The 14099-nt window shown below is 38.2% G+C and overlaps 1 annotated feature.

Moving 5' to 3' along the window:
* Positions 13574-13868: a silencer, noted in NCBI's record as "tiled region #6550; HepG2 Repressive non-DNase unmatched - State 24:Quies". NCBI's record gives its function as "represses a minimal TATA promoter and a strong SV40 promoter by Sharpr-MPRA in HepG2 cells {active_cell/tissue: HepG2}" and the evidence as "EXISTENCE:reporter gene assay evidence [ECO:0000049][PMID:27701403]".

Here is a 14099-nt window from a genome sequence, read left to right as displayed (position 1 = left end):
ATGAGATTGCAGCAACTGAATCACATCTTCCACCTCCACTTCTAATTCTAGTTTCCTTTCTGTTTTTACTGCATCTACAGTGACTTCCTCCACTGATATCCTGAACCCCTCAAAGGCATATATGAGTGTTGGAATCAACTTCTTCCAGACTCCTGATAATGCTGCTATTTTGACCTCCTCTCATGAATTACAAATGTTTTTATTGGCATCTAGAATGGTGAATTTTTTCCAGAAGGCTTTCAATATACTTTGCCCAGATCCATCAGATCAATGTCTATGGCAGCTGTAGCCTTTTGAAATGTATTTCTAAAATAATAAGATTTTAAAAGTTAAAATTACTCTTGGATCCATGGACTACAGAATGGAACAGATCTCCTTGTACTTCCCCATCAGAATTCTTGGATAACCAAGTTCATTGTCAAGGAGCAGAAATATTTTGAAAGAAATCTTTTGAGCAGCAGTTCTCAACAGTGGGCTTAAAATATTCAGTAAACCATGCTGTAAACAGATGTGTTCTCACCCAGACTTTGTTGTTCTATTTAGGGCACATACAGAGTAAATACAGCGTAATTCTTCAGGCCCTAGAAATTTTGAAATGGCAAATGACCATTGGCTTCAACTTAGTCACCAACTACAGTAGCCCTATCCTTTGAAGCAGGGCTTCAGAGAGCATCAGCCTGTTCTTTGAGAAAGGCAGCAAATCCTTTGAAACTTAGAAGCCAGGCATGGACTTTTCTCTAGCTATGAAACTTCTAGGAACCATCTTCTTCCAATATCAAGTGGTTTCATCTACATTGAAAATTTGTTGTTTAGAGTAGCCACCTTCATCAATTATCTTAACTAGATGTTCTGGACAACTTGCTGCAGCTTCTACCTAAGCACTTACTGCTTCACTTTGCACTTTCCTATTATGGAGATTGAGTCTTTCCTCAAACTTCATGAACTTATCTCTGCTAGCTTAAAACTTTTGCAGCTTCCTCACCTGTGTTAGCCTTCATAGAGTTTAAAAGAGTTAGGGCCTTGCCCTGGATTAGGCTTTGGCTTAAAAAAATGTTGTGGCTGATTTGCTCTTCTGTCCTGGCCACTAAAACTTTCTCGATATCAGCAATAAGGCTGTTTTGCTTCTTATCATCATGTGTTCTACTTGCCTATTGGAGTAGCAATTTTGATTTTCTTCAAGACTTTTGCCTTTGCATTCACAATTTGGTTAATTTTTTTATGCAGGAGGCCTAGTTTTCAAGTTTATCTTGGCTTTTGTCATGCCTTTCTCACTAAGCTTAATCATTTCTATCTTTAGATTTAAACTGAGAGACATGCAACTCTTCCATTCACTTGAACACTTAGAGATCATTGTAAGGTTATTAATTAGCCTAATTTCAATACTGCTGTCTCAGGGAATATAGAGGCTGGAGGAGGGAGAGAGAGATGAGGGAATGGCAGGTCAGTGGGACAGGCAGAACATACACATTTATCTGTTAAATTCCCTGTTTTATTTGGATGTAGTTCATGGCTACCAAAAGCAATTATAATAGTAACATTAAAGATCACTGATCACAGATTAACATAACAACTGTGATAATAACGAAAAGGTTTGAAATATTGTGAGAATTTCAAAATGTGACACAAAGACACAAATTGAGCACATGCTGTTGGAAAAATGGCACCAAACTTGGTCAATGCAGGGTTGCCACAAACCTTCAATTTGTTAAAACAAAACAAAACACTGTAGCACAATATCTACAATTGTATACTTTTATCTGAAGCACAATAAGGTCAAGTGCAATAAAAATGAGGTATGCCTATATCTATATCTATCTATCTATATAAAATCAACCCTGCTAATCAAGAATACCTATTTTTAAATGCATATGAATCAGTCATGAAAATTGGCATTCCTTGATCTACCAAAAAACCTCAATAAATTCCAGGCACTAGAAACAATACAAATACTATTCTCTGACATTATGCAATAAAATAAAAAATTAATTAAAATAAAAAAGGTCTTTTTATATGAAAAAATATTTAGAACTCAAATTAAAAAAAATAAATTAAAAACTTTTAAAAGGGGTGCCTGGGCCAGGCACAGTGGCTCACACCTGTAATCCTAGCACTTTGTGGGGCCAAGGCAGGCAGATCACTTGAGCCCAGGAATTTAAGACTAGCATGGGCAACATGGCAAAACACTATCTACACAAAATACAAAAATTAGCCAGGCGTAGTGGCCTGGGCCCACAAGGTCGAGGCTTCAATGAGCCACGATTGTGCCACTGCACTCCAGCCAGGGTAACTGGGTGAGACCCTGAAAAAAAAAAAGAGGGGGGTTGTCTATTAAATAACTCAGGACAAAGTTTATTTAAAAAAACAAAATTGGGCACTTTCTCAAAATTAATGATTGTGGAAACAAAGTATATCCAGGTGTGTGGAATATGGCTAAAAGATCTATAAAGTGAAAATGTCTATTAAATACCTTTATTAAAAATAGAAATAAATGTAAATTAATCAAACTTACCACAAAGAAAGATAAGCATGCAAAATAACAAATATCAATAGATATAAAGATTTTTTCTGTAAAGATAATAGCAAATTTAATAAACTAGAAAACAAAAAAAGTAGAATAAATAAATATATCCAAAAAGAATTCTTTTAAAAATCTACAAAATTAAAAAAAAATACTGCCTATTTCAAGAGAAAAGGAGCAAGCCAAATACACATTTCAGAAATGACAGGTAAAAATAGCCATAAAAAGCAGAAAATGAATACATCAAAAAACTACTTTGCCTAGTTTTATATAATTTTTTTAAAATTTCAGTAGCCTTAGAGGTACAAATGGTGTTTGGTCCCATGGATGAATTGTACAGTGGTAAAGTCTGAGATTTTAGTGCACCCATGACCTGGGTAGTGTACATGGTATCCAATAGGTAGTTTTTTGTCCTCATCCCCGCTACCCCCTCCCAAATTCTGAGTCTCCAGTGTCCATTACACCCCTCTGTATGTTTTTGTGTACCCAAAACTTAGCTCTCACTTATAAATGAGAATATGTGGTATTTGGTTTTCCATTCCTAAGTTACTTCATTTAGAATACTGGCCTCTGGTTCTAGCCAAGTTGCTGCAAAAGACATTATATCATTATTTTTTATGGCTAAGTAGTATTCCATGATGTATGTATACCACATTTTCTTTACCAACTCATTGGTTGATGGGCACTTAGGTTGATTCCATATCTTGGCAATTGTGAATTTTGCTGCAATAAATATATGCATGCAGGTGCCCTTTTTCTATAGTGACTTCTCTTCTTTTAGCTAGATACTCAGTAGTAGAATTGCTGGATTGAATGGTAGATCTACTTTTAGTTCTTTGAGAAATCCCCATGCTGTTTTCCATAGAGGCTGTACTAATTTACATTCCCACCAGCAGTGTATAAGCACTCCCTTTTCACCACATCCATGCCAATATTTTTTGTTTTTTTACTTTTTAGTAATGGCCATTCTGGCTGGGGTAAGGTACCAGCTCATTGTGGTTTTAACTGTCTTATGCAAATAAATTTAAAAGCTTAAGTCAAATGGATAATTTTTTTGAAAAATGTGACTTACTAAAAGTGACCCCAGTAGAGACAGAAAGACTAAGCTAATTACTGTACCTCAGGGGGAAAAAAAAAATCAGAAAGTACAGTAGCTAAGAACGCCTCCACAAAAATAAATGAATAAGAACCATGCCTAGAATTTTTAGAGACAGATCATTCCAAAGCTCTGTAAACTTTTTCAAAGTATAGAAAAAGAATTTGTTAAGACAAGTATAACTTTCATCCTAAAATCTAAAAATGTTAATGTTAAACAAAGAAAACTAAAGACCACTCCTACACATGAATGAGCATAGAAATTTCAAATAAAATACTATTGAGAATTGAATGAGAATTGAATCAAATTTTTTAGAACTTTTGATCATGTGAATGCAAGGGAGTTTCAACATTTAGAAATCAGTAAATATGGCTGGGTGCGGTGGCTCACACCTGTAATCGCAGCACTTTGGGAGGCTGAAGCGAGCGGATCCTGATGTCAGGAGTTCAAGATCAGCCTGGCTAACATGGCGAAACCCTGTTTCTACTAAAAATACAAAAATTAGCCAGGGATGGGGGCAAGTGCCTGTAATCCCAGCTACTCGGGAGGCTAAGGCAGGAGAATCGCTTGAAACTGGAAGGCAGAGGTTGAGGTTAGCCGAGATTGTGCCACTGAACTCCCACCTGTGCGAAAGAGTGAAACTCTGTCTCAAAAAAAAAAAAAAAAAAGAAAAAGAAATCGGTAAACGTAACCCATCATATTTGTAGAGCTATACAGAAAAATTATGTAACATATCCATTGATGTCATTAGGTTGGTGCAAAAGTAATGGCAAAACCTAACATATATATTTAGCACTAACCTAATATATGGAAAATGTACTTTACAAAATTCAACACCCATTTATAATAAAACATTAAATACAGTATAAACTGATGAGTAAATCTTTAACATAATAATATTGACCTTAGTCCCCAGACCAGCATCTTAATAGGAAACATTATAGGGTGCATAATTTTTCCTTTGAACTTAGGGAAAAGATAAGGATGCTTACTCTCTCCCCTATTTCTTAACATGACAGTGAAGGCATCAGTAGCCAAAGAAATGTGACAAAAGGAAGCAATTGGGGGAACAAGTTTTGGAAAGTAATATGTAAATCAATCACTGTTTACTAATGACATAGCTATAAATTAGGAAAATTCTCCTTGTCTCCTTTACAGTCTCTGCTGCTCCTGTCCATGCCATCAGCACACCCAAGCTCCGCCTTCTGCTTTAAAGCAGACCCCTCTGGATTTAGCTTGGCAGTGGCAAGATAAAAGGAGCAAGAGCCCCAACTTGGCTGTGAAGCCCTAATTGCCTGCCAGAGCTTAAATTTTTCTCCTAAATTATAGGATATCAGGCATTCCCTTGATTGTGTAATCTGGCAATTAACCCTTAGGAGTATAAACTTTCCAGTCAATGTAAAGGAAGGAATGGTGAGTGGTAGGATTTCTGGATCTTCACCCGGAAAACTTAGTACCAAGTACGTCACAATTAGCTCTCAGAGATAATTGTATAGCTGCTGTAACAAACTGCCACAAACTCAATGGCTTAAAACAACACACATTTATCATCTTACAGTTCTGGTGGACAGAATCCTGTAAAGAGAAGCCTCGGCTAAAATCAAATTGTAGGCAATGCCATATTCCTTCGGGAGGCTCTGGGAGAGAATCCCTTTCTTTGCCATTCACTGCCCAGATTCCATGACTTGTGGTTTCTTCCTCCATCTTCAAAGTCAGCAAAGATGGGCAGGTCATTCCCACAAGGCCATCTCTTTGGTTCCTTCTCTCTTCTGCCTTCCTTTTCTGCTTATAAGAACCCCTGTGCTTACACTGCGTCTACCTGGATAATCTAGTATAGTCTCCACATCTCACAGTCAGCTGCTTAGCAACTGTAATTCCATCTGCAACCTTAATTTGCCTTTCTATGTAACCTGACACTCACAAATTTCAGGGATTGAGATGTGGACATCTTTGGGTGACCAATTATTCTGCTTACAGCAGGCTTTTAGAGGAGAGAGCCATAATTTTACAAATCAGGAATCTGAGATCAATAAAAGTAAAATGATCTCCCTAAAATCACACAGTTAGCTCTAATCTTGGTTGAATGTAGATTAGAATCAAATACTCCTATCTTTTAAACCAGAATAATATTCCCATAAAAGACCCAATACACATTAGATACTATAGCCCTCCTGCAATACAAAATATACTACTCCATTTACAGTATATAGAACATTTTAAAAGTTTAATACACAAGCAGATATTTGACATACACTTAGTTTTCAAATTGAAAATGTAATGCCTCATTAATGTTTTTAGTATACTAGGTGACAGTGAAGATGACAGCAACACAAATTACGGGATTGGGATTGTAATGAATATTCCTGCTAGCAAAATGAAAATCTGAGCCCTGATGTAAGAAGGAAGTTGTTCTTTTATTAAACATACATTGAATTTGCACGTGTAAAAGGATTTTCTATCACAGCACTGAAATTCAATGTTTGATCTTTAGGCTCAAATTTAAGCTGCTACACACTGCACTTACACATACACACACTTGCTTTGTTTTTACGTGAATAAATGTCTGGCCTTCTTTTTCTTGGAAAGGTCAGCGTTCTTCACTTTGGGAATGTCATTAGAGACACCTCTCCCTTTTTCAGTGAGGTGGCAGGGAATGTTAGTTCTTGGAACCACAGAAATTAAAGAGCAAGGGGAACCAGGGAGGTCATACATCATTCATCTGCATGACACTCAAGGACTGCCTTTTACAGACCTCTTCAGTGATTTGTTCCCTTCTATTTTGACTGCAGAAAAGAAAGGGTGCTGTCAACCTCATTTCGAAGGTTATTCCACATTTCTGTGTGTTAGGTGCTCTTTTCTCTCCATGTCTTTCTTCTTTTATTATAACCCAGTGCTCTTGGCGATTATCTTTCACTCGCATTCATACATTGCCTCATGAGCTTGTCTGCGTAGTTTTCATCCATGAAGATCACCAATTAGCTCTGCGTTCTATAAAGAGGTCTTTGGCCTCTTTGGAGAAAGATAAGGCTGGCAGAGAAAGGGAATTAGACTGACTCCATGGCTGAGTTTGGGGCCTGAGATTAAGAATCAATGAGATTGTTCTCTCAAGAACAAACTGTTCTTTCCTGCTCTGGTGTTGACTGAGGTTAGATACTTACACATCTCTGAAAATTTCAGGCTTTCTGAGCTCTGGGCATTATCCAGGGAGAAAAACAGTTGTAATACGAAGGAGTGAAAAAGACTCTATGGAAAAATTCAACATAATTCTACTGCAGATCATGAGGTGCTTTTCTAAGCTCTGAAAGGATACCTTTAAGTTTAGAAGAAACAAAGGAAAGAACTCATTAGTTCCAACATGAGTAAGAGGAAGAGATGAGCAGGTGAGACGCTATAGAGAAGGAGCAAAGTTCTTTAAGGGTAGCCACTGGCTTTTCATCATAATATCAGCACCACAGAGGATTGTAGAGCCTTGAGTTTAGTAATCCTAGGAAGTTCAGTTCCATCCCCCATCCCCATCTGTGGAGAAAGTAGGTTTAATAGAAGGAAAAAGGACTTTGTAGTCATTTAAACCTTGGTTTGAAAATCACTCTAACACTCACGAGCTGGGGGGTCTCAAAAGAAATTTAACCCTCCTTAGTCTCAATTATCTCATTAAAAACAGCAGCAGGCAGAGGTGTTCCACTTCCAGCTTGTTTTGCTGATGAGAAAATATGCAGGCACTTGGAATCAACTCACATAAAATCATGCAAATCTTAGGATTTCAATTTTAAAATATAGTAATTCTATTTATTGCTCTCTTTCTGCTTCCTCTGATTCTTCTCCCCTTCATAACGGGGAGAATAATAACCTATTATTAAAGGTAATAGAGTAAATGGAAGCATAGTTAAGATGAAAATAGCCTGTAGCCTTTAGGCCGCTGTGGAACCTTTCTAACTCTTTCCACTTTCTAACTCTTTCCACTTTCTAACTCTTTCCACTTTCTAACTCTTTCCACTGCCTCTGTTCATTCAGTTGCCATCAAGATGGTCCACTGCTACTTCCCACACTTAACTTTATATTCCACATTACCATATCAAACTTGATAAAAGTGTTTCTCAGCTCAAAATAAAAGCTCTTCAGCATGAAATTCAAATCCATCTACAATCTGGTCCCTGTCTACTTCTCCAGCTCAGAGATACAAGGCTATTTAGTTTTTCATTCATTCAACAAATATTTATAGGCTACCTACTATGAGCAAGGTACTATAGTAGGTGTTAGGCAATTAAATTTGAAGATGTTGACAGAAAAAGAGAAGTGAGATGTAATTTTATAGATTTAAATTTCCATTATGCTCAGTTTATTTTCTAAAATAAATATGTATTACTGATATAATTATTTTTAAAAGCCATATCAGGTCTATAGTATCTCTGCTTTATTAATGAGGGCATCAAGACTCTGAAAAATTAAGTAAATTTTTCAAAATAAAACAGCATGGAAAAAGCCAAGTAGAATTTGAATTATATAATTTAAATTCTGCAGTTTTTGTTTTTGTGTTCCTTTGGACTTTAGCTTATTTTAAAAATGCTTTTTATCTGTATCTGCTCTAGTGGGTTTTAACAAAGACTTTTATGTTTTCAGAAATAATTTCTCTTACGTGACAATGAATCAAACATTTAAAGATGCTTTTTCCTACTTTCTGTATCCCAATAAAGGAAGTTTCTGCCTTAGCTAGAAACCATTGAATTATAGAATTGAGTAATGCAATTCTTGCATCTTTATAACTATTTTCTGGCCTAGAGTTTTTTATCCTTGGGAGATTCATAAGCATTATTTATATATGACATTTTGAGGTTGGTAACCCTCTTCAGAAATTTTCTTTCCTTCCAATGCAAAGGAAAAGAAACTCTCTTTGCATACATTTTTCACCTCAAAAACTCTCAGGCATGTAATCAATTTTGACCCATTTGGGAACCGCTACATACACTGGAAAAAAAAGTATGGCCTCGATGACCTTGGTAACAACTGCCCTAATTTTCAACCAAAACCAGGGAAGGTCTTAGGAATTTGAATCTCTGGTCAGAATGTTATCATTCATTATGTTGGCCAGGCAGGACAGTGACCTAACTGTTACAGAGTTTGTTTTGTTTTGATTTGTGTTCTTTGTCTTCTCGGGTTTTAGGATAGGGTAAGAACGTCATTTTCTTGCCAAGCAATGATGCAAATGACAAATCATAGGATAGGACTCTGACCTAAGATATTTTAAGAATACTGCCTTTCTCTTCTAGGATTTTTTCTATTTGGGGACATATTTTCATAATTCTTTCTCTAGGGGACAACATCTGACTAACACCCAAGGTTTCTGAGTCTCCTGAGCTCAAGTTCATCATCTGTCTTCCTCTGGTGTTGGTTTTCCTTGGATGTTTAGCTATTCCACGTTGTGTGTTCAGTTTTTGGATTAGTATTTCCTGTCAGACTACCTGATACATCTCTGCAGTGTCAGCTTGAAGGTAACCACAGAAGGTGCTGCTGAGGCCGTCCTCACTGGGAATGCGAGGCATCTGAGGATGGCGGCCCACCACTTTCTCCTAAAGGGACCAGCCATCTGGGACAACCCCTTGGCAGTGCGCCTACAGCCTTTTACATCCAACCCAAGCTCCACAACCTCTGCATCCACCTAGAAATGCACATCGAGGTGAGGATACATGAATATACAGTCAAGTGCTGAGCTATTCCTAGTGGCAAAACCAATGAATCACTTTGCTGGTTGTCACAGAGTTGCTTTCTGCTCTGAGTATAGGCCATTCCCAGGGTGCAAGCATTTTTCTGCCAACTTCAATTTTGTTATCACACCTTTTAGGGTAGTTTTAGGCTGTGGTTGCAGTCTTCAACTCTATGTCTTTCATGGATTTCACACAATTCCTGGTCCATAGAATGACTCTTTTGTGTGCATCATGTACATGGACTTATTTATTTATTTACATGCCATTTTTATCGTTTTGTATTTGGAGCAAGAGTGGGATGCGAGAGCCTGTTTCAGTCCACCATCCTCAACAAATGAATTGAACATAAGCTCTCAACTGTGGTGGGTTGAATATGGATTGAATGTTTTTGTTTCCTCCAAAACCCATGTTGACATTTAATCCCCAATGCAACAGTGTTGGGAAGTGGGGCCTAATGGGAGGTGTTTTGATCATGAGGGCTCTGGCCCATTAATGGATTAATGTCATTTTAAAGGGCTTGAGGGAGGGAGTTTGCTCTCTCTTGCTCTCTTGGCCTTCCACCCTTCACCATGGAATGACAAAGCAAGAGGGCCCTTGCCAGATGTTGGCTTCTTCATTTTCAACTTCCCAGCCTCCAGAACTATAAGATATAGATTTCCGTTCTTCATAAGTTACCCAGCCTGCAGTAATTTGTTATAGCAGCACAAAATGGACCAAAGCAATAGTATCCCCTAAAAGCTCACTTTCACCCAAAACCTCACGATGTCACTTTATTTGGAAATAGAGTTATTTACAGATGTAATTAAGGACCTCAAGATGAAATCACCCTGGGGTTAGGGAGAGCATTTAAATCCAATGACTGGCATCCTTATAAGAGGAGAGGACACAGAAAGCTTTAGATACACAATGTGGAGGCTGCCGTGTGAAGTGAAGGCAGATTGAAGCGTCTACTAGCCAAAGAATGACAAGAATTGCTGACAACCATCAGAAACTGATGTATGGTAGGCAAGCCCCAAAATTAGCTTAGTCCAGGAGGGTCCTTGGCTTTACTCAGGAAAGAATTCAAGAGCAAGCCAGTGGTGGAAGAAAGCAGGTTTACTGAAACGGCAGTGCATAGCGGAATGGCTGTTCCTTGCATAACTGGGCTAAGCCCTTGGCAGTGCACCTACAGTAGCAGTGTACAGCAAAGTGGCTTCTCCACAGGCAGAGCAGCCTGGAGTAGTAGTAGTAGCAGCAGCAGCAGCAGCAGCAGAAGCAGTATACAGCAACAGTAGCTGTCTGGAGAAGCCGTTGGAGCAGGAGCAGTGGCCACAGCTGAAGCCACAGCTGCAGAGGCAGCCCCAGCATGGATTGCTGGCTAGCTATATTTATGCCCACTCTTAGTTCTATGCTAATTAAGGGGTGGGTTATTCATAATTTTCTAGAAAAGAAGCGGGGAGTTCCTGGAGCCGTATAAGGTCACTTCCTAGTTGTTGCCACGGCATGTTGCCATGGCATTTGTAAACTGTCATGGCACTGGCAGGAGCGTCTTTAATTATGAACAGTGTGGGCACCAGAAGTCACTTTTGTCACCATCTGCTGGTTTTGGCAGGTTTCTTTACAGCATCCTGTTTTTGATCAGCAAGGTCATTACCAGTGCTCAGAAAACAAGTTCTACTGATCTCTCCACTTCAAAACTAGAAAAGAAGCATGAAAAAGACTTCCTCACAGCCTGCAGAAGGAATCAACCCTGTCAATATCTTTATTTCAGACTTCTTGCCTCTTAAACTGTAAGAGAATACACTTCTGTTTTCTTAAGCCAGCTTTTGGTCCTTTGGTACTTTTGGTACTTTGTTACAGCAGAATAATTATACCCTAGGAAACTAATACAACAGCTCTCCTCATTCACATAAATTTCATAAAGGTATAGTCAATTATAATTTTTATAAGGCAAGGGTAAAATGATCTCTATTTATATATCTTTTCCATTATTCTTTTCATGGTATGGCTAGAAACCGAGAAAAGCCTGAATCCTGCTGCATAATTTATTCCTACTTTTTTCATTCTTTCTTCAACCTCCAATCCCCACCCTGTAACCCACCCCAATCAAAGCCAGTTTCTTAGAGAGCTACATATAAGAACAGAGGTTATATGAAAAACAAAGTATTACTATATTTAATGGAATAGCACCATTTAACCTTTAAATCAGAGCACTGGTAAAAATTAGATTGGAGAATATATACAAAGCCTGAGGCTTAAATGCGATCCCCTAGGTCCCTCTGAATTTAAGTCCTGAGATGGAAAGAGGAGAGACGTGGCTCTGCATCCAGCTCAGGGCTATTGACCGTGCTGATGTCTGCTTCCATATGAAAAGGAGAATCCGAAAGTGCAAGAGAGTGCTATCTGCACATGTGCATTCTATCCTTTAAATGTCACCAGACTCCAGTCACCAGACTCACTAATAACTATTATCCAATCCAAATTCAAGACTCTGATTGAATTAGCAGATTCTCCTATCTTGGAGGGGGGCTTGAATTAAGCAAGAAGAGATAGAATCTTCCTGTTAGGGCAAAGAGTACAACAGTATTTTCTTCCCTCTCCTTTCCAAATTGATCCCAGTACTATGCATATAGCTAAGCAGCCAATAAATGTCTATTGAAATAAAACATTCAGTTTAAATAATACATATTAAATATATTACTGCCATCAATGTATTAGGTCCAACTCTGACTTGCTTTTGCTCAGACTGAAGGGAAACCTCAACATACATTTGCTTTTAAATCTATTCATTTATTTCAAGCCTATATAAAGTGACTATTTAATGGCAGTTTTTCTGGTAGGCACTTAAGATCAGAAATAATGAAATAGCTCATGAAGCTCAGAATCCAGTGAGGGTATGTATATAAAAATAAGCAAAGAAGTATGATGCCCATGATAAATGTCATTGCACAGGTATGCTCAGACATCCAGAAAAGCCCAGGGGAGATACGGCTAACACTGAATATCAGGGGCTAGAAGATCAGGAAAGGTGATACTGAAATGAGTCTTTTTTGTTTGTTTGTTTGTTTGTTTGTTTGTTTTTCAGACGAAGTCTCACTCTGTCACCAGGTTAGAGTGTTGTGGTGCAATCTCAGCTCACTGCAACCTCCAACTCCCTAGTTCAAGCGATTATTCTGCCTCAGCCTCCTGAGTAGCTGGGATTAAAGGCATGTGTCACCACACCTAGTTAATTTTTTTTTTTTGTATTTTTAGTAGAAACGAGGTTTCACCATGTTGGCCAGGATGGTCTCGATCTCCTGACCTCGAGATCTGCCCACCTTGGCCTCCCAAAGTTCTGGGATTACAGGCATGAGCCACCGCGCCCGGCCAAGATGAATCTTCAGTGATGAGTACAAAGAAGTACAATCAGGAGAAGGTTGGCAGAAGGCAGAATATTTGAAGCAGAGAATAAGGTTTACATAAAAGTCTGTGAAGATGATAGAGGATTGCGTAGAGATAGGAGCCCCCCCCCCAAAAAAAAGCAGTTTAGACTCTCAGAATCATGGGGTGTCAATAGGTGGAGAAAATCAATGAAGTTAGAAAGGCAATTGGAGGTCATGCCCTGTTGCCTCAGAAGGGACCGAACTGCGTATTTAAAACTAGAGATTGTGATATTCATGATGATGATGGCATCTTCAAGCAAAGCCTAAATAAAGTCATGTTCAGCATTTTCTAATGGAAGAGATTCATGTCAAGACTGCAGTGTCACTTACCTAGGAAGCTAATTTATCATAAAATTTTTATTATAAATAAATTATAGAGGAATGATTCAGATATTTTATAAATAAAATTTGTAATAAAACTAATTTGTATTAACTACTGTTCCAAACACTTAACAACATATTCTCTCTCATAATACAAAATCCTCCAAGGTGAGAACAGTTATCACCCTGTTTTACAGATGGGAAAACTGAGGTGTGGAGAGGATATCTTGCCCAAAGTGGCAGGTCCAGTCAAGCCAGGATTCAAACTCAGGCTGTTAAATCAGGAGCATGTTCTCTCACATCAGCGCATTACAGTGTGATGATGGACCACCAAAAATATAGAGAATGTGGGTGCCCTGTGGGTTTTTCTCTCAGTTAGTCCCGAAACCCACAATACAAAATCAGGGGCAGCTCTACTAGGACCTAATTAAAAGCCTCACTTGAAATAAGTTGTATTCCCCTGGCATCTATTTTTTTTTCATTTTTTAATATAGCCTAATTCAAATATTATTCCCTTGTCATATGATTTGCTCCTTACAGGCATTTTTGTCATGGACATAACCTTATTTTTTCTGCTACTAACCAATGGGTACTTGGCTTTTCCAATCAGTTTATGCTGTTTATGAATCACTATCTCATCTTTTCCTGGAGTTAAGCCGGAGTTTTCATAGCTCTCATAAACAAACCACTTTGAGTATATGACTCACACGTGAACAGCATCTGGCTGAATCTGACTAGGGGAAATCACTTGTGGCATGATTGGTATATTAGCCTACTAAGGCTGCCATAACAAAATGCCATAGTCGGGTGGCTTAAACAACGTAAATTTATTTTCACACTGTTCTAGAAACTGGAAGTCCAAGATCAAAATGTTCATGAATTTAGTTTCTTCCAAGGCTTCTCTCTTTGGCTTGCAGATGGCTGTGCCCTCACCTTGTCTTTTCTCTGTGCTTGTGCACCCTCGTGTCTTTTTATGTGTCCACATTTTCTCTTTTTATAGGGACACCAGCCAAATTTCATTAGGGTCCACCCTAAAGGCCTCATTTTGACTGAATTATCTCTTT

Source organism: Homo sapiens, chromosome 8, assembly GCF_000001405.40.
Source record: "Homo sapiens chromosome 8, GRCh38.p14 Primary Assembly".
NCBI lineage: Eukaryota > Metazoa > Chordata > Mammalia > Primates > Hominidae > Homo > Homo sapiens.
The sequence above is the reverse complement of the archived record's forward strand: the minus strand, read 5'-3'. Positions and strand labels throughout refer to the sequence as shown.